Source organism: Homo sapiens, chromosome 2, assembly GCF_000001405.40.
Source record: "Homo sapiens chromosome 2, GRCh38.p14 Primary Assembly".
Taxonomy (NCBI): Eukaryota; Metazoa; Chordata; class Mammalia; order Primates; family Hominidae; genus Homo; species Homo sapiens.
In genome coordinates, this window is record NC_000002.12 from 50,915,060 (window position 1) to 50,935,687 (window position 20,628).

Below are 20,628 nucleotides of genomic sequence, written 5' to 3' on the forward strand. Positions count from 1 at the left end.
AGTTCAGGAGACGGCCAAATTGCAGTATTAAGCAGGGTGGTCGGTTTTAGTCTCCTTAACATTTTTAGCAAAATCTTGAAGTATGTGAGAATACTAGCCAATTATTTAACTATTTCAAGATAATTATATGTTATTTTTCCAATATAGACACCTCAGAAATATATCTACTTAGCTTTTCCTTGAAAATGTGGTATTCAGATAACTAGGTGTCAGCAGTCTCAACTATATATCATTCTGTGAAGTCATTAGTATGGCAAAACATTAATTTACAAAAAAAGTTTCATCTCATTGGTACCTCCAGTCCATGAAAAAATGTCTATCTCCCTGCCTCCTTCAACCAATAAATTTGCATCTGAAAACCAGCATTTTACCAATGATTTCCTAGGGTTGCTCAAAGTGGAGGCAAGCCTATTTCATCCTCATTATTGTATGTAAGATAAATGTTAAAGTGTAAAGAGTAACAGATATCTAAATAATTTTGATTGAGGATAATCAATCTTTAATACTTTTTTGTACAAATGTTCTCTGTAGTACGGATCATCAGGACATGGGTGTCTAGTTAGTTTCAACCAAAGACAATGCCAGAATCATAAATAATAGGGTATTAATATGATGGAAAGAAGATATTAAGATAATGATACTGTTTTTGTTAAACCTTTGGCAGATTACAGATCAATCGTTTTAAAATCATTTAATCCAAATGCACACGGTATCTTTTCCTTATTGTCACCATTAATAAAAAGCCTCCTCTATGCACTTTTGCAATTTGTCATGTAACATTAGCCTCAGTAATTGAGTATTTTTATTAATCCATATTACAGATCATAAGGTTTTGATATTTGAGGCTAAATTATTTACTCAAGGTCAGTAAGGAACAAATCTGGAATATGAACCCAGCTCTTATGACTTCAGGACTATTACCCATCAGTTACAAGGTGGAGTTTTACTCCCTCAAATGAAAATCTTGATAATGAGAGACACCGGCATTCTAGATAAAAATCTGTGAATGGTTTCCTTTATACTACCACTAAATTTATTGACTAAGAATAAGAAGATGAAACTCTGTTTCATGATTATTAGTGTTTAACTGAAGAAAAATCTTTGAAGTCTCCTTAAGGTTGGCTATTCTATATTATGATAGTTATTTTGGTTCAAAATTGTACAAAGTTTTGCCTATCATAATAAGCAGCGTCACCTTTCATGCCTTGTAACACAAAGAGGGACAATATTATATTATTATATTTTTAGAAGATCTCTAATATTCTTCTCTGCTCCAAAATGTTATGATTCTAATTAAAGATCCAAATTTATCTAGTTTAAGAGCTAAAGACTATAGAAAATTACATTGTTTTTTAACCTCTGACCAGCACAATTTAGGAAATAGCCTCCTATCAAGCCTAAAAGTGTTGATGGTTGTTAAAAATCTAGATTAAAAAAGTACATTTGCAAATGTATAAATAACATAAAGTCATTATTTTGGAGAAGAAATAATCAGTTTAACCTCCATTATGTCATAATTTGAAAGTTTTGCTATTTGCAACATATTTCAGTAAAACGCATCTAAGTTTCTATTCATACCACCTCATTTTTTAAACTATTAAAGTACAGAGAGTCCTTTCTGTGCTCCTCTCTGAGGATAAGTTAGTCTACAACAAGTTTAGTAAAAGTCTTGTTTAGATGATCAGTTTTTCAATGTTATCATTGTTTAAGGAATGTATAATGACACAGAAAACTTTGCTTCACAGAGCCAGGATTACAGAAATACATTCAAGCTGGGACTTTTATTAGTAATACATGTAACAAGATTGGTTAAATCACAGCAAGAGATAATACATAAGCATATACTCTTCAATTAGTTTTTCTTGGTTCTACTCAGAACTAATGAACATGTAAGCTAAAGATGAACTAGTAAACAAACATTGAATTCTAAATAGTCACATAGCCTTCTATGTGTACTGTATAGATAAAAGTAGATATTTAATGTCTGATATTATAAGGTGAAACTCCGGTCTTCCCACGGTCTGCGGCTGTGAGTTAAGGGGATCCAGTATTGCAAGAGTAGAGGTAACACAGTAGAAAATTTAAACAAATATTCTTACTTCTTAGTTTGTATATGCACCAAACACAGGCATTTCAACAGTAAGGGTCTGTCAACATTCACAAACTTTTCTGAACAAACAGATGACTTATTATTATGAAACTAAATGAGGAAATACAATTTAAGAATTTATACAGAAGAAGATACATATCATATTTTAATAACCAAATTAGGTCTATATCAGAAATCACAGCAAAATATATTTTAAAAAGCATAAAACAAATATGCATTAGGATTTTAGTAACTGGAAGTTGTGCACTTCACAGACAAATTCGCTATATAGCAACACAGGACTTGAAAATGGTATAAAAATAAAAATCATGGAAACTGTGTGATCTGAATGTTGTATCTTTCCAAAATTGATAAACTGAAATCCGAACCCACAAAATGACGGATTAGGAGAGGGGGATTTTGGGATTTGATTAGGTCCTGAGGGCAGAGCCTTTATGAATGGGATTGCTGTCCTTATAAAAGACACTCCAGAGAGCTCTCTTTCTCCCTTTCAAGTGAGGACACAAAGAGAAGGTAGTGATCTATGAACCAGGAAGCAAAATCTCACTGGACACCGACTGTGTCAGCCCTTGGTCTTGGACTTCCCAGCCTCCAGACGTTTGAGAAATAAGTTTCTGTTACTTACAAGCTACCCAGTTTATGGTATTTTTATATAGAAGCCCAAATGGACTAAGACAAAGACAAAAGAAAATGTATTAAAAAAACACCAAATGCTTTATTCTTTTCTAAGTATTAATAATATCAAATCTATTATAAGAGTAAGTTTAATGAAATATTATTGTGGTATGACAGTATAGATAAAAATTTAAAGCACATGGTAATATTAGATATTACTCATCAATTAGTTCAGGTGGAAGAGTTGTATCCAGGTCTTAACAATTACAATTAGCTTTAACAATTAGTTTTGAGAAAAATCTATCTTTATTACTTTTATAAATTATACTAATTTAAGATCTACTCTTCACAAAGAGAATAAGGCTTATGCACTTTCAGAATGTGTAACTATATTCTTTTCAGTTCTACTTGTAATATTTTGCTCTTCTAGTAACATGAGAAGCCTGGATAATTAAACAGTAAATGTCCATTTGACTCTTTAAAATGGACAGTTGAAACCACCGCCCCCAAACAAATACATTTAAGTCATGAAAATCGCAAATTCAAGATACAATAAGAAAAATGTTCTGGAAATACAATGGTCAAAGAGAAAGACAAGCTTTCTGCCCTCATAGAGCTTACACTCTACTAGGAAAAGTTAGCATTAAGTATAATCACAAATACAAATATGTAATTACAATTATGATGACTTATGAAGGAAAAGTACAAGCCTCCAATCAAAGTGCCAACATTCGCTGATAATTATTAACTTGTGCTCCTGAGCTATTAACCAGCTATTATGGCTTGATTTTCATGTATAACATATTTTGACTTTTTTGTAATTTAAATAGTCATTCATTTCTGATAAGCCATTAAAGTAAAATATAAATAAACAATCAAAGCAATTATTGGAATGAAGTGACCAGTTACACATACATAGGAAAAGAAACAAGAACAAAAGAGAAAAGACATACTTCATTCAAGGCAAACAGATAAACCTAAATTCTAAATAGAAAGGAGAATAAAATTAGCATTATCAATGATCCTAACAACAACATCATTGACAAATTTCAAGCCCCAAAAAAATGTGATCCAAATTTCATGAAGACTATTTGAATCCATCTACCCACAACCAGCAAAAGTAAGGTTGGCTTTGAATAACAGATCTTCAGCTGCCCCAAAGAAAACTATAATTCATTCAAAGTTTATTCTTAACCATATCCAGTTAAAGGTGACATATCTTTGTTTAGGAATGTAAAAAACACAAGTAACAGACTGACTCTAAAGTTTGAAACAGGATGACTAATTAAAAATAGGAGGCACTATGGCCTATGAGAAGAATGAGTAAACTCGTGTTTAATTCATTGTGATTCTGCCAGCCCACAGCAGTGGTCTCTAACATGTCTCCAGCTGACTTCGCCATTTTTGTCATGTACACATGATAAGGGATTTTGCAGTTTCCAAACCCTGAGTTGTTATGGAGCACAGAAGGATCAACATCAACTCTGTAAGGACACATCACAAAGTGAGACCAGTGCTTACCTCGAGAGAAAGGACTTGAGAGGAGGATGAAGAAGGTTATCAAAAGGCATGTTCTTTTTACATGTGTTAATTATTTTTTAATGAAATATATTCATCTATCACTGGACATTTAAACAGTTAGAAAATATTTAAGAATTCATAAAGAAGAAATCAAAATAATGAAGATGTTCTTGAATTTATTTTTTTATAGTCTTTTTTTCATAAAGAAAGACATTAATCCACAAAACTTCATTCCAGATCCCCTGAATTCACTACTCACACAAGAGAAAAGTGGGGAAATTGAGAAAATTGCTCCATGATTATATTGAGATATAAAAATTTAGGAAACATAAGTTTACACTGTAAATCAGTTATATAAACTGTCCAGACTTAACCCCGATTTTATGCACAACTAGGATTTAACTCCACATAGGAAATTGCAATGTAAAGTTCCTAAATTATTTTTTCCAGATTTTTTTTTAATTCCTCCAACAGATGGCACAAGGTGGGGATATTCACATAAGACAGACTTGGATTGATGTTATGCTTTCCTTTTTCTGAATTCCTACTTCACTTTGTACCAGTCTCACAGCACTTCCATTCTGTCATTCATTCTAACTTGCCCAAATGTTTTCATTTCCTTGTTATATGAACACTCTGTGGATGCCATGTCATAGTCATGATTGTATTTCTGCTCTAGAATATAGATTTGTTGAATTAATCTGCAATTAGAGAAGACTTACAATCACCTTTCTCATTTCTCTACATCTAATTAAACAATATGAAATGGGTACCAATGTGATTTGCAAAATACTCAAGTCCATCTAAAAATCTTCTCTCTCCATTTAACAGCAAAAAGCTTACTCGTCCCAATAATAGAAGAAGAATGCAATGAAAAAAACAAATTCCTGTCCTCTGTGTCTTTGTGCTGATTGAGGAACAAAATCTGATGAAAACTGGTGAAGTTAAAAAATAATGTTTGACACACATGCCAACAGAAAACATTTAAGACTGACATAGAAAAACTAAATAAAGTTAAGTGACACTTGACATTAAGTACACCAAAACAAATATCAGCTGAGTATAAACATGAACTATTCCATATGTAGAAAATGGTTGTATAATTAAAAAATTATTTTAAGAGTTACTTTTTCACAAAATAACAAATATACGAGTGTATATACTTAGAAATTGTGTATTTATACATGCATCCATACAAATACACATATGCATACATACAAACACATATACATATACTTTACTCAGCCAGTAAGATAAAGTATATTCTTCCCTCTATGCCATCCCTAAGTCCACAAACTAAAGAACATGATGAGAAATGCCCACTTAAGAGAACGCAGTGGATGAGATTTTGGCCTCAAGTAAAAATGTTTAGAAAGCACTCAAAATGGTACACAAAACCTCTAAAATAATTGATACATACTGTCATTTGCATAGTTGCTAGAGGCTTAATATGAGATTAAATTATACTATTGAAAATAGCTGCCAAAACCAAAACTGTGATAACCTATGTTGTTGGATCAAAGTATTCAAACAGCATTTGTTTCTAAAGCTCTATTTTACACATTTAAAATTGATATCATTTCTTACATATTGCCTGGCTCATGTTCAGATGCTTTTTCAAGCAGAAAAGTTTTCCTGCTAGATGACACAAACATAAAGGTGCAGAACTGTGAACTGTGGTCCCAATTCACCAGATTAACACTGAGAACACAGGAAAGAATAAAGATATTCCTGCATTTAAACTAATAATAATAATTAAAAAACAGAAACTAAATAGAAACATTCACTAACACACAGTTAAAAATGGTTGATTTAAAGACTATTCTATATGTTTGCCACAGCTGCATACCACTTACTTCCTTTTAATGACAACATTAAACACAATGAGGATGGTTTTAAATGGCAAATTACACATGCTTCTGGATTTCGTACCAACATCATCAAAGAGTACACATGCCTGACTTACCAAGCAATGCGGGAATGCATAGCTAGTTGATAATGCCCTTAAAACAAAGTTAGTATGCATAAAAAGAAATGTCTTGCTCCTCTGTTTGTCTCTTTCTTAATACTGCCTTTTTAGGTTACTACAGTGTTCATGTGCATAAATGACACCTAGCAGACAACAAGATGATGCACCCACAGCAGTACCATTTCAGTGGTGCACATGCTTAGACTTATGTCTCAATACAGAATGGCTAGGGCAGGTGTGCTCCAGAGCTGAATATTTGAAGATCACATATTTACAGTTCCTACACTTATTTAAGTACCATTAAATGATACTGCAGAAACTGACACCGAAACTTGTAGCTAATTTCTAAATATATTAATTATGTGAGCACCTGACATGAAAAAGATCACTCTAAAGAGAAAAAAAAGGGTGGGGGCGAAAATGGAAACATATTGATGGATTTTTCTTATCTTAAATTTATAAAATATTTATTAACACATATACCTACCTCCCAGTGCCCATTACCAATGCCAAAAGGTCTAAATACATTTATGTAACTCAGACACACTGTAATTCATACAGATGATATTAAGAAGAAATAAAATAATGTAATACCTTTACTTTTACCTATGGATTTGATGAAATGGGTCCATGAAGAAAGGGTTTCCAGACAAAGAGGATAAAGAGGAGAAAAACAACAATAAGTATTATGAACATATGTAAAGCCACTACTCTCTGAAAATTAAACAAGACATGAAAGTATAAACAAGGTTTTGAAGACAAATGGAGATGCAATCAGGACATGTTGGGAATTCTGCCTTTTTTGAAGGCAAGTACATGCAAAAAACTGAAAGGCCCATGCTCAGTTTTAAAAGATCACACAAAAGAGAGACATACAATAAATCTACGTAGAGAAAGTATTGATTCTGTGGAACACTATACTCAGCATTCTACAAGCCAGAAGCCAAAGATGTCTGCATGTTCCCAAACTGTCATGCATGGATGAAAAATGGACTTATTTTTTGGATACAGTGGTTTAAACTGAGGATCTTCTTTCAGACAGCAACTTCTGATGGTTCTCGGTTTTTCTTTACCATAACCACCCTTTACTGCATATGCTGATAAGTATATAGAAACTTTCAATCACAATTTCTTATGTCTCATTTATTTGCAAATATTATAATGCAAGAAATGAAGGAAAATAAAAGCCACAGGAACAAACCAAAATCAAACGAACAAAGAAATGGAAGAAAAACACATGAAAAAATGTGAACAAAAGATATGTATTTAATTTGCAGCCATATAATTTGCAAGCATTTGCCCATCCTTTGCAGTGATGGTTTGAAAGCAGCTACAGAACAAGAAAACACTGAAAGCAGAGTGGAAAAGGAACAGAGCCCATACCTTGGTCGCCCATCATCAGGTGCGCCAGACCTTGAAGGGAAACAAGAGCACAGTCAGCAATAAACAAGGGAGCATGGGAAGGCAGGGTTGTCACGGTGACAAAAATGTTCAGTGACAGACATCTCTTTTCCTATGAGACATGTCTGTATCACAGAGGCAAATCAAAAAGCATTCTTTCAACCCCTGGTTGGAATGCTTTGGGGCAAAGTGTTCTAGAACTGCGTTTTAAACACTGGCATATGCTGCACTGTGTATTTCTTCCATGCATCAGTTGGAACAACCAAGAGCACAAGAGCATGACTTAAAATCCAACCAAACCCCTCAATATTACATCTGCCCTCTGTGCCCTTTAATGAGACTGTTTTGCATATTGCCCCCACAGGGCTTGTAATTCTTCAGTGATGAAATTACATTTTTTTAAAACCCAATGGAATACATGAAACATGGGCTGGGTCTGATCTTTTTCCCCTCATCAAAAAATGAGCATTTTATAATTAAATGAAGAAAAAAAAATTGTAGTCACATTGAAATGATAATGCAGAAATGTCTCCTTGTCTGACACATGTAGCGGCTGACTAGGCTTGTTCAAATACAAAATGATCATTAGACATGCAGTTGTAAAGCTAGAATTTACTACAAAAAAGGGTTTTTAAGAAACAATGGGTCAGCTGCAAATACACTAAAGCAATTTTCCTCAGAGAACAAAATTATTTGAGATTTCACCTAAATATTTCTTAAATGCTGAACTCTAAGTTAGTGTAAAGATACATATTACAGATGTAATTTCATCAAGGAATTCTTTAAAGGACATTGAAATTCCTTTATTTAATTTATTTATTATTTCCTGCTTGACAATTCACTTCAAACTGAAGAGCACTTCTCTTCTAAATAATACTACTAACATGCTTTCAAAAATTCTTTTGCTATTCAAGAAGTTACTTTTTACTGAAAGGCATAATTCCTAGCTTTTTATTTTAAATTCAGAAATAAAGCTATTTCTCTATCCATGTATATGTCTACAATACGGGAAAATGTTAGAGAAATACACATTTATCAGTTTTAATAAACTTGTATTTTCAATTTCCAGTGCTATTTCAGATATATTTGAAACTTTATTTGAGCTATATAACATTACACATTGGTTTCATCAGTATTTAAATTATCTGTGTTGTTTTCTTAAAATTTTAGGGGTATTCAAACATCTCTGTAGGCTAGATATAATTACAAATAATCATCTAATCACAATATAACATGAAAGTTATTAAACACAGTAGTGTGATGCCTCTGAACTGTAGCCTCTCTGTATTTTCTGAGTGATTTTAACAAAAAGTTCACACAGGCAGATTCAACAGCTTATGATCTATTGATAATTCATAGTGTTTTATATGCTGATAGTGGCTTATTTGTCCAGGTTACATATTTTTTCATTTAATTTCACTTTTAAAACTACTACAGATATTTCCAAGTAACATTTTATAAGTTTTATGGACTAAATGAGGAAATTGTCTTGAAGATCTACCTTTTAGAAAATATATTAGGTACTTCCAACGGTTTTGATGCTACATCAATAAGGATGGAAATTCACTAATCCCCAAAGAATTCACATTCTTCCTGCTAGACTTTCTACCTATACTGTAAAGGTCATATTATAGATAGAAATATTAAAATTATGATTGAACAGACTTTATTACAATAGCTTATGGGCCTATATTCTAAAAATAAATCTTACCATGGGATGAGTGTGTGTGAAAAGAGAGAAGCATTCATGCTAATTAGGCTGATTTTAAAGCCTCTTGGGATGCAATAGGATTTTAAGAGAAAAGAAAAGCATTTCACAGGATGGATAAGGAAATGCAAAAGAAGTTGAAAAGATACCTCTAAAAAATAACTTTTAAACTCAGTTGACATGCACAATATAAATGAGACTGACTTCAAAAGATATTAGGCCTGCAGGGTAATATATCATTTTTATCAAGTATATACTCACATGCAATTAAAATTATAGTATACAAAAACAGAAGCCATATATGGATACAACACTTAGAAAATAGTAATTTATGATTTCTTTTAAAGTTTTAATCTATTTTATTTAAATAACAAAACAGAAATGTTCAGCAGCTAAGCAATTATAATATTATCCATGTACGAATCACAAATATAATGTTTACCCCTGCTACTGGTCAACTCTGTATTATCATGAAGTGTTCTTTCTTAGATACATGAAGTCTTGGTAACCTTAATGGCTATTTATCTGTAACCTGGGATAGGGAGTCTTTTTCTAAGAAATCCTTCATTCTATGGAAATGTACATTTACAGAATGACTATATTTCAAAATATGGTAGTAAAATAAAATATACTAAATGCTGTCTTCCCATATACAAATATTAGTAAATTAGTAAATCTTTATGTAGGAACTGTTAATGCTGTGAATATATAAGTTGATAGAACATATATAATTTGATAAAACCTTCCCTTTCACCATTCTTTTGTTATGCCTTGTTCTTTTTGCATGTTAACACTTTGAAGATTTGTTTGTAGCACACTGACTAATGCATTTAAGTTCTTAAAAAATGAGAATAAGGAAATATGTTTTAATTTGCTGGATTCTACAGGAAAATATATAAGCTATATAACTTCTTCAAAATTCCTTGACAGAGATAATTTTTTATAAAAGACTGAATAAAATATTTAGCAGGCAAAAAATATTACAAATATACTTACCAGGAATCATATCGAAATGCTGTATGCTTTCATGTCCACTGGCCAATGGCTTATTTTTTAATCTAAATTTATGTCTCTTACTTATACTCAGTACTTTATTGCATTCTTTTTATACATCCAATCATTTTAAACAAACCAATGGGCTTGAAATGAGATAATGCTAAATTTTGCCAGAATAGAATAAGTCATTTTGATAAAAAATGGAAAAAGGATCATGCACTGTCTTATGAAACTACAAAGAAATATTTTGTCTTTTAAAGTAAAAAAAGCAGAATTGTTATCATTTTTCTCATACAGAACACTGTAATAACTATTCTAAGCTTCATATGGGATGCTGAGGTCTAACAAGGGTTGGAGTTAAGCTTGAAAAAGTTTCATATACTTGGGATGGCAGGGTTGAGAATGTATGTGTTCTGTATGAAAAGTGATACACAATCCAGAAACCAACAAATGTTCAGAAAGAAGTTCAACTTACCATCTAACTTCAAGATGTACCCTATTAGTACTAAGAAATAAAGGACAAATGAGAGTTGGAAAAATAAGGTAGAAAGCACCCACCTTCCACATTGTTGTCTTCTGAAAGCACATGACAAGGAGGGAGAGAAAAGGAAAAACATTCATTAAGCAGCATGCAGACTGGACCTTGCCTTTGCATGTCTTCCTCATGCAAGGCACCAAACACATCATGCAAGTGCTCCATCACTATCATTCAAGGGGGAAAACAAAATCACAGGGAAGCAGGTTCCCTCCCATTGGCAGCATTGATAGGAAGTGAGACAAACTTTCATAATACTGCCATGCCCTGTGCAAAGAGTTTTTAAAAAAATCTTTCAACTACCCAGTATAAAGCAAACATTATTGTTATTACATGTTGCTGGTGTGGTCTTTCTAGGCAATTATTTTTAAAAGCTTTTTTGTTTTCTTTTTAACAATTCTAAAAGGTTCTATTTCCACATACTGATTTGGCCTTAGATTTTAAGAAGTCTATTGGAAAGAGCTATGAAATTTCACTTAAAGATATTCCAGTTCTACCAAATATATTATCCATATGCCATTACTGCCTTTTAGTATTTCTAATACCTCAATTGCTTTCCTTAAAGAAAAACAACGTAACTATATGGAACTAAAATCTGCAATTTATTTGGTTAATTTATAGCATATTAATATTGTATTGCAAATGAGAATAGTTTATTGGAATTTATAAAAATGCTAACTTTTAAAAATGTTAGGTAGGAAAGTGATCACTGGAAGAGAAGTCCACTGGGAACTGTCCATAAGGCAATTTGGTTTGTCGTGATTTAAAAACTTTGTACTTCTGTTGAGGATGTGAATATGAATTTGTTTGAGACAATGAAAATATTTAGCTCAATTTCTCTTATATTTCTATATATCTATAAAATACCTACATGTTTTCATATATTTTGTTAGTCATATTTCCATGTGTGTACCTATGTATATATGTATAAACATATATATCCAAGCAGATTTGTATTTCCCAAGATAATCAATATAAATATATAAGGTTTAAAGTATTATTAGTACCTAGTGGAAAATTCAAGTTCTATTTGAGACTCGGGGCCTGCAATCCCGGCAAGAAATGGAAGGGAAAGCTGTCTTAGGGGACTAGGGCAAGAGCAAGGTTTCAGTAGTTATCAAAAATGTTCTAATAGTAAACTCTACCCATGTTGACATTCTAGTCTCATCCTTATTTTTTGTTTAATTAATTGTACTTTATAAACTCATCATCTGATCAGAGGTGTTTATAAACATGGCAACATGCAAGTATAGAAACTTGAAAGCAAAAACAACTAAGAATGTACCATTTGATTAGGTTCACCTAAAACCTTCTTAATTGGATAAAGTTACTAGTGAATTAAAAATCAACAATTTTGTTTAAAACATTTCAGCTGAAAATTGAAGTATCAACACAGGCACATCTACTGATGTGGTGTTAGCATGTAATAGAAAATGGCTGGTGGCTAAATGTGGGTAATAACATCTTTACACAATACTTGGTTTTCCAGAGTTTATTTTTAAAGAAACAACAAAAAAAACTTTCAAATATTTGGTCTGTGATATTGACTTCTAGTTTGTTTTTGTTTGTTTTTTGGACTGCCAATTTATTAAACAAGGAATTAGGCTGAATTTGTTACTTTTCAGTGGTGACTTTGATGTTACACAAACACAAATATTAAAGTTTTGTTTTACTGCATTATATTGGACATAATACAAAGATATAAATTATTGTAATGTTTAAGATATACTTTTCCTGTATATTAACTTTGAAATTGTATCTTCTGTTTAAGATGCTTACTTAACAAGATTATTTAATATGTATTGTAAAATAATAAAATCAGGGAATTTAGAGGAGAGTCATGTGCCAAGACAGTATGTCAATTGCTACAGCATTATTTAATTTCTGTAAAGACGGGCAAATATGGTTGTGAGGAGCAGTGCTTCGGTAGAAATTTTGGTAAAGTGTGGCCTAAAACTACAATTAAAAAAAAAGGAAAGAAAAGCAAACCAACAAAATGAAACAGGCCCAGGCCTGACACCAACTTTAGGAATGCACTAAGTAGGGCATTATAAAAGGAGTTCAAGGTCACTGATTCAGTCCTGACGGCAAGTTCTCCTTTCATGACCATAGATACAAGCCTAGGTTTTGCCATGGATCCTACTCTACCATCTAGCATTTTTTTCTGAATTCTTATTCATAATGAGAACAAGCTTAATAATGGGAATTCCTTTAAACGATCCAAGTCATGTTTAATGTGTAAACAAATTCTGACTCGACTAAATCCAGAAAAGTGGTCTGTCTCAGAAAATTTAGATTTAGAAAAAAAAAATCAAAGTACTAGAATAAATGGGTGATATATTAACCACTGTTTAAAAAAAAGATGGTGATGATGATGAAGACAACTGGCTTGGAGCAGACTTTCCTTGAGTTTCCATATACTTTCAGATTCAATCTCAGAATAAAAATCCTCTTTCCTCTTCCATTCTATTCTATTCTGGTATCCATTTGCTAACTTTACATAATTTAAAACTTGTTAACCTAAAGAAAATCCCTACATTATTTCAGAATTTGGACGTGATTATAACTGGTGGTAGCTCCAGCATTTACAACCATTCTCCAGGTATTTTTTTCCCTTCTCTTTCCTTTCCATTTTATTTCTGTACTAAATAATAAATGTCGAGTCAAAAAAGAATAGTTTATCTCCTCATAACAATTTTTTCTTTATCTTTGTAAATTCTTATACACACAAATGCTACTTTGCTTTTGAGCAGCAACAAAGACAGGTGCTGAATTTTGGCATGCCACGGTGTACAGGTAAAGCAGCATATTTTGGTTTAGTGTAAGGTAGAAAGCAGTCCATCCGGCCTTACCTGTGGACACTGTCAAGTTAGGGAAAATCTCTTGGTTTGCAGAAAACCCTGGCTTCTTAATTCTGCTGACCTAATCCTTGCTGAGTAAATGAAGTGCGTCTCTTAATCATTAACTTTACTACGATGACCACGCCACCTATAAAGATCACACTCTTGCTTTCTTTTCATTGGAAAAATAATGAATATAGAGCTGTGAAAAAGATACTTTACATTTTATTTTTCTTTCAGATAGGATGGGCTTCTCTCACAAAGATGGGAATTAGGCACCAGAATATCAATCATGCTATGAATAATGGCTGTGTGCTGACAAGAAGGCAAGCAACAGCCTGTTTTAAAATCACTGTAAAAGAGCATCTTCACAAAATTTTTATCTTCGGCCCCCAGCTTATAAGAATGCAAGGACAGTAACTTTAGTTTATCATTCCAGTGTTCTTTGCACATACTCTTAAGTATACGGTTCTAGGAAAACAAATGAATACAAAAACAAATGTGCTTGTTTCAATATAAAGAAAATCATGACCAGTAAAAAATTAAAATTTGGAATAAAATATCACAAAAATCTCCTTTCTGTATAATCAGTGCTAAAGTTTGGCAATATGTAAGTCTTTCTCTAAATGTACAGACAGTGGTCCATTTAGTGCTACAACTTACATTAAAAAATGACCAAAAGAAGCTTCCTGATATCACTTGGGCATTCCTTTACTTCTTTAATTTTTGGTTTCCTTCCTTCTCTGCTAGATGCCTGTGACTGGCTCCCCTCATTTTCCTTGATTCCCTCTCTCCTCCATCAAAACTGCCACTACTGCGAGTAGCTTCTGTCCCAGATACCAGCACTCCAAGGTATGGCATATTACAGCAAAACTGGTGGTGGTAACAGGCAGTGGAAAGACAGATGAAGAATAAGATTCTATTTCCTTCCTCCATACAGGGAGTGTGCTAACTTCTATCCACGTCTCTCTCGCCCATCACATTACTTCTCAAGCCTGTACTCCTCATTTTGGAGATCAAATGCCAGTACAGCAGAGCTTAGTTCCCATGGTGGCACAGGATGGAGCTTTGTTTTTTCTTTTGGTATTAGCAGTGAAAGCCTTTAAAAAACCTCAATAGTCTGGGAATGCTTCAAGCACTGGGAAATGGAGGAAATCATTGAGACTGTGGATTAAAGCAGCAGTCAGCTGAAGGAATAGAAATGCGGCCCAGAACCAAGACGATGTTCAAAGAGAAAATGAAGCATAAAGGTCCATTATGGAGACTTAGGGAAGGAAAGAAATGGTCCTGGACAGGAATTGGGCTAATTTCAAACATGCTTTTTAACAGAGGACATCACCTCCTTTTTCAATCCCAGCTAAATAATATTGCAGGACACTCCCACCCAGCCTGCTTGGAGTACTCATCCTAGGAAATATATGGAGTCAACTACAACAACCAGTTTTTCTCCTTCTTCACTGCTCGGGAATAAAAAATGTATCTCTAAACCGGATGCAGCAACACAGATGTTCCTGGCATCACACTAGAAACACTTAAAACAATTTCCCCCCAAAATATTTTGTTACAAAGACATTTGTGGTATTTAATTCAAAATGTTCTATCTTGTTAATGACAATTAAAAGAAAGAAGAGAAAAAGAGAAAGGGGGCAGGAGGAAGGAAAAGCAAGAAAGCCTAAAGTTATTGCGATTTATAGTGATTAAGCTATTTGATGAACCTGATGAAATTTAATAACTGTTAGTCAACATATTATAATATAAATCGAATGACTCACATAAGCTATAATGAATTCAATTTCAAATTTTCATGAGGAACTACTACAAGGATTTTCAAATTTGTTTTGCTTTGATAATCTCAGTTCTTCCCCAAGTCTAAATCTTGAGAGTTAACATTTCAACATTCATTTCAATAGTTGGACTTAGGAAGGAACACTGAATTTAACAGTGACTGTAAACATGGTGACAAGCACAGTCTACAGTATGTGTGCTCACACCACCTATTTTTATTTTTTATTGCTGAGAAATGAATGCTTCCTGATACGGAATTGACAGACAACACTGAGCAGAGTGCTTATCACATACCCTCCCAACCAAGCTTAATCACTGTTAAACAACTCTCCTAAGAAAGGTGGCTCAGGTGAGCAGTGCTTTCCTTTCTAAGAGTTTGACGTCATCATATTTTAGGATACAGAGCAAGAAAGCTCTTGGACTGAGGTTAAGAGAGTGAACTTAAATACACCCTACCTACTTTCCCAACTTACCAACCCTTCTAGTGGTTATGTGGTTTTGACTTCTTTGTTAACAGATGGACAGGAGACATCCTTTGGCCTGTGTATTACCATCAGAGAATATTCTGCAATGTGTTCTAGGTTTGCTATCATTAAGATGAAAAGTAGGTGAACTCCCACTAATAAGACTAATGGTCTTCATTTGAAAGAGCTGTCAAATGTCTACTGGTATATAAATTTTTTTCACCATTTTTTTTCATCTTACTACAGATGTTTTTCAACTAAATATTAAAATACTCTTAACTTTATTATTCTATACCTGGGTTCTTAGACATGTCCAAAACAAATCTATTTAATTTATCTAAGAAAAGGCAAAAATACTTTGTGATGAAATTAAAAATATGACTAAACCACATTGTAAAAAGGAGTCTTAAGTTTGATGCTTAAAAATTACATTTACATGCAGTGTACAGAAAATAAAATTATTTATATGATATGACCGACCTGACAATTATACATTCTTTTTATATCAAAGAAAAAATGAAATTTTATATCAAATTAAAAATATTTTATATTGTTATCTTCACTTCAATAGGACCCTCACATATGTAACAAACAGCTTGGAAGGAAGCTATTCCTTGGAAGGAAAAATGCACAGCATATTAAAAGGATTTGATTTTTCATTTCTTCAGAGCTCTTAGTTTTTCATTTTATATGGTGTTAAAAATTCACTGTATTTACATGTGTCAGTTTATGACTAAATTAATTTCAAAGTTTTATGAAAATCACTGAAAATTATTTTAAAAGGAATAGGCCATTCTTAGCTAAATAAATTAGATCATACATTGAAATTTTCCAGGAGGCTCTCGGGATTGATTAAAATATTATTTTTTTTTTCTGGAGATGGAGTCTCACTCTGTTGCCAAGACTGGAGTGCAGTGTCACCGTGTTGGCTCACTGCAGCCTCTGTCTCCTGGGTTCAAGCAATTCTCCTGCCTCAGCCTCCCACGTAGCTGGGATTACAGGCACCCACCACCATGCTCTGCTAATTTTTGCATTTTTTTAGTAGACACAGGATTTCACCATGTTGGCCAGGTGCCTGGCCAAAAAATATTACTTATAATCAGGCTGAGCACGGTGGTTCACACCTGTAATCCCAGTACTTTGGGAGGCTGAGGAAAGTGGATCACTTGGTGTCAGGAGTTCGAGACTAGCCTGGCTAACATGGTAAAACCCCATCTCTACTACAAAGACAAAAATTGGCTGGGCATGGTGGCACATGCCTGTAATCCCAGCTACTCAGGAGGCTGAGGAAGGAGAATCATCCTTCCTTCCTGCTCACTTTTGGTTTCCATTTACATGGAATATCTTTTTCCACCTCTTTACATTAAGTTTATGTGAGTCCCTATGTATTAGGTCAATCTCTTGAAGACAGCAAATACTTGGTTGGTAGATTGTTACCCATTTTGCCATTCTGTATCTTTTAAGTGGAGCATTTAGGCCATTGACATCAATGTTAATATCATATGTTCCCACTTACAAGTGGGAACTAAGCTATGAGGACACAAAGGCAAACATAATAGACTCTGGGGACTCAAGGGAAAGGGCAGGAGAGGAGTAAGGGATACAAGATACACATTAGGTACAGTGTACACTGCTCGGGTGATGGGTGCACCAACGTCTCAGAAATCGCCACTAAAGAACTTATCCATGCAACCAAACACAACCTGTTCCCAAAAATCTATTGAAATAATTTAAAAAAATAATGTGCTAGAAAAACACACACACAAAATATAACTACTGGTATCACTTTTTTTTCTTAACAGCAATAGAATAAATGAGTAAGAAGACTGTGAGAAGACTGAATGATTTCATAGATCCTGCTGCAAGAAGGCAGAAAAACCTCAGAGAAAAATACTATTTTCTTAATTGCATTTATTTGTTGATTCTATAAAGTCTAAGAAACTTTAATACTGCTTAATTTCCTTTATTAAAGAAAAAAAAAGGCTCCCAGTCCTCTTCTCTAGATTGTTACAATAAATTGCTTCCTCAAGAAAAAACAAAACAAAACAAAACAAAAAAACACGCATTTAGAAAATATTTTGTCCTACTTTAAGAGCAAAATTAGGTCCAGGTTTATAAATGTGTTTACCCATGGGCATTCTAACCACTAGAAATCAAAGAAAGAATTATTCCATAAATTTCTTGCTGTCTTTAAAATTTAAAGAAAAGCACTCGTTTCATACCCATCACATAAATTGTGCCTTCCTTTTAAAACATCTGAAACAAAATGACACTTTTGTTCAAAGCCAAATATTTTGGTAGGTGAGACAATATATTATGAATTTGCCACATAAAATATATTTGCTCTTTCATTTGAGTTATAAAATGCAAATTTGGTAAAAAATATTACTTTCATTCCCCTTACATACTCGCTGTGTAGTAAATCTCCTGGGAACTGAGCAGCAAATTATAATTCTTTTGCAGGAAGAAAAACTAAATACTATACAAACTGCAATTCTCTTTTGGAAAAAAAGTGTTTTGTGTTACAGAGTTATAGGAAAATAGTTTGTTCATAGGTACAACCAATTCTATACTTTTGAAGATATTATATATGTAGTTATTTGAGTTAATGTCTAGTGACTAAACTAAACCCATATGAATATTGGTCATGTGGAAGAGAGAGCCATGATCTTGATTAATCCATTTTATATCTGTTGATTTACTGATCCATAAAATCAAATCAACACAAATACAAATTTCTAGGTACCCTAATGATTCCTTTTTAATGTTTTCCTGAAATGGGCATTCACTACTTAAGAAAACATGCTGAACAGAAAGAGAAATTTCCTTTTGTAACCCTAATATAGCTTCTTAAAATATTAATTCCATAATTCAGAGAAGTTCACTTTACTTTTTAAAAATGTATAATAAGAAGACGGTATACTTAATTACTTCTTCAAATTTGTTTAAACTGCTTTCTATGACTACCGGCAAGTCTGCATTTCTACCAAAACAATTTCAAGAAAATTTAATTTTAAAAATAATCTCATCAAGCCACACCTCATTATATGTTGCTTTAAAATGTGTGGCAATACAATGATACCATTACTTCAAAAGCTCCTCCCTAAACATCAGTACCAGCATGTGTGTATCTCTCTAACACATATGTGTATACATATACACACCCAATTGGTATTTCATTTCATAAACAAATCCAAACTGTGATATTTTTCTCAATAAAAATATTTTTTCTACAAAAGTTAACGTGAATAGAAGAAAAACATTTATAATAAATAATTTGATAAGATCATCAATAATAACACAACTACTACATGACCACTTTTCCTATAAACATTTTACCTTACTAATAATAGGCATTAAATAAATTATAAACTTCTCTTTTCCTCTTTGTATCTGTTATTTCAATTTTGTTTGTACGTATTAGAAAAACAGAGTGTTTTCTAACTGCATGATTGAATATGTAACCACAGAGACATATGGCATATTTCTAAGTAAAATTAAAATTTCAGTTCCTTAGCCATGTTCCACATGCTCAATAGCCACATGTAGCCACTGGCTACCAGGCTGGACAGCACAAATTGTGAAGCTTTCAGTCATTACAATAAGTTCTATTGAGCGGTATTAACTACAGCTTCTCTGACAATATCTTTTAATATCAAGCTATTCATATAATGTACATATTATTTGTTCTTTATTCAAAAAAGGAAATAATTAAAATGCATGATGGTTTTAAAAGCAAACATCTATTTAGAGCAGGGTTATTACATTTGTGCAATATGGAGAACTTTGTAATATTTCCACTTAACCTTAAAATAATAACAATTAGGAAATAAACCTGATAAAAATTTTATTGTATTCATTTAAAAATGTGTTTGAATAATTCAAACTCTGGACAATTATTACTCTTTTCATCATAAGTCTTTTCCTTTAGACCTCATAGATGAGAAAACGCTGAACCTATTTTGATTTTTAAGTAAACTAAACTAGTAATCTAATATCGTCTTACTCTTAAGCCCCTCATTCTCGCAGTATGCCCAATTAGATCATTTATCATTACTGTCTTTAAGTCTATGACCATTTTTCAATGTAAGAGTTTAATAAGCTTTTAACAGAGTAGTTTTAAAATTAATTTAAAAAGCGCCTTTCATCCTACTATCTTATATAATGTATTCTCTTATAGGTCAAAGACTTTCCTTCCTATAACATGGGCCTCTTTTTGAATATTACACCATAGAAAAATAAACCAAATGAGCAAATAAAATAGTCAACATTTCTGTAAGACTTAAATACAGCAGAGATAAGGCAATTGGATAAATGGAGCAGTTCACACCTCTAGTTAATTCTAGAAAAGTCCAAGATCCTATTAAGGAACTACTACATAGAAATAAATGAACCAATGAGAAGGCAAATAAAAACTGAGTAGGGAGAATAGAAAAATAATCCTTAGGCTGGGCGCAGTGGCTCAGGCCTATTATAATCTCAGCACTTCGGGAGGCCAAGGCAGGCAGATCACTTGAGGTCAGCAGTTCCAACACCAGTCTGGTGAAATTGCATGTCTCTTAAAAATACAAAAATTAGCCAGGCATGGTGGCAGGCACCTGTAATTCCAGCTACTCAGGAGGCTGAGGCCGGATAATCACTTGAATCTGGGAGGCGGAGGTTGCAGTGAGCAGAGATCACACCA

General features: G+C 33.0%; 1 protein-coding gene across 19 annotated transcripts in view; it reads right to left on the bottom strand.

The window, feature by feature from the left end:
* Positions 1-20,628, bottom strand: part of NRXN1 (neurexin 1) — a 1,113,630-nt gene that overhangs the window by 996,557 nt on the left and 96,445 nt on the right. For 8 of the 19 annotated variants that reach the window (NM_001330095.2, NM_001330082.2, NM_001330077.2 and 5 more), the window contains 3 exons: positions 10,879-10,896; positions 7,599-7,628; positions 6,810-6,821 (listed from right to left, as the gene is read on the bottom strand). The exons of 4 other annotated variants lie outside the window; for them this stretch is intronic. In NM_001330095.2, coding sequence (NP_001317024.1) covers positions 6,810-6,821; positions 7,599-7,628; positions 10,879-10,896 — 60 coding nt within the window. Of the gene's footprint in view, positions 1-1,762; positions 4,948-6,809; positions 6,822-7,461; positions 7,629-10,878; positions 10,897-20,628 lie in introns of those variants that run through there. 7 more of the 19 variants (NM_001330079.2, NM_001330090.2, NM_001330081.2 and 4 more) reach the window with 7 other exon arrangements.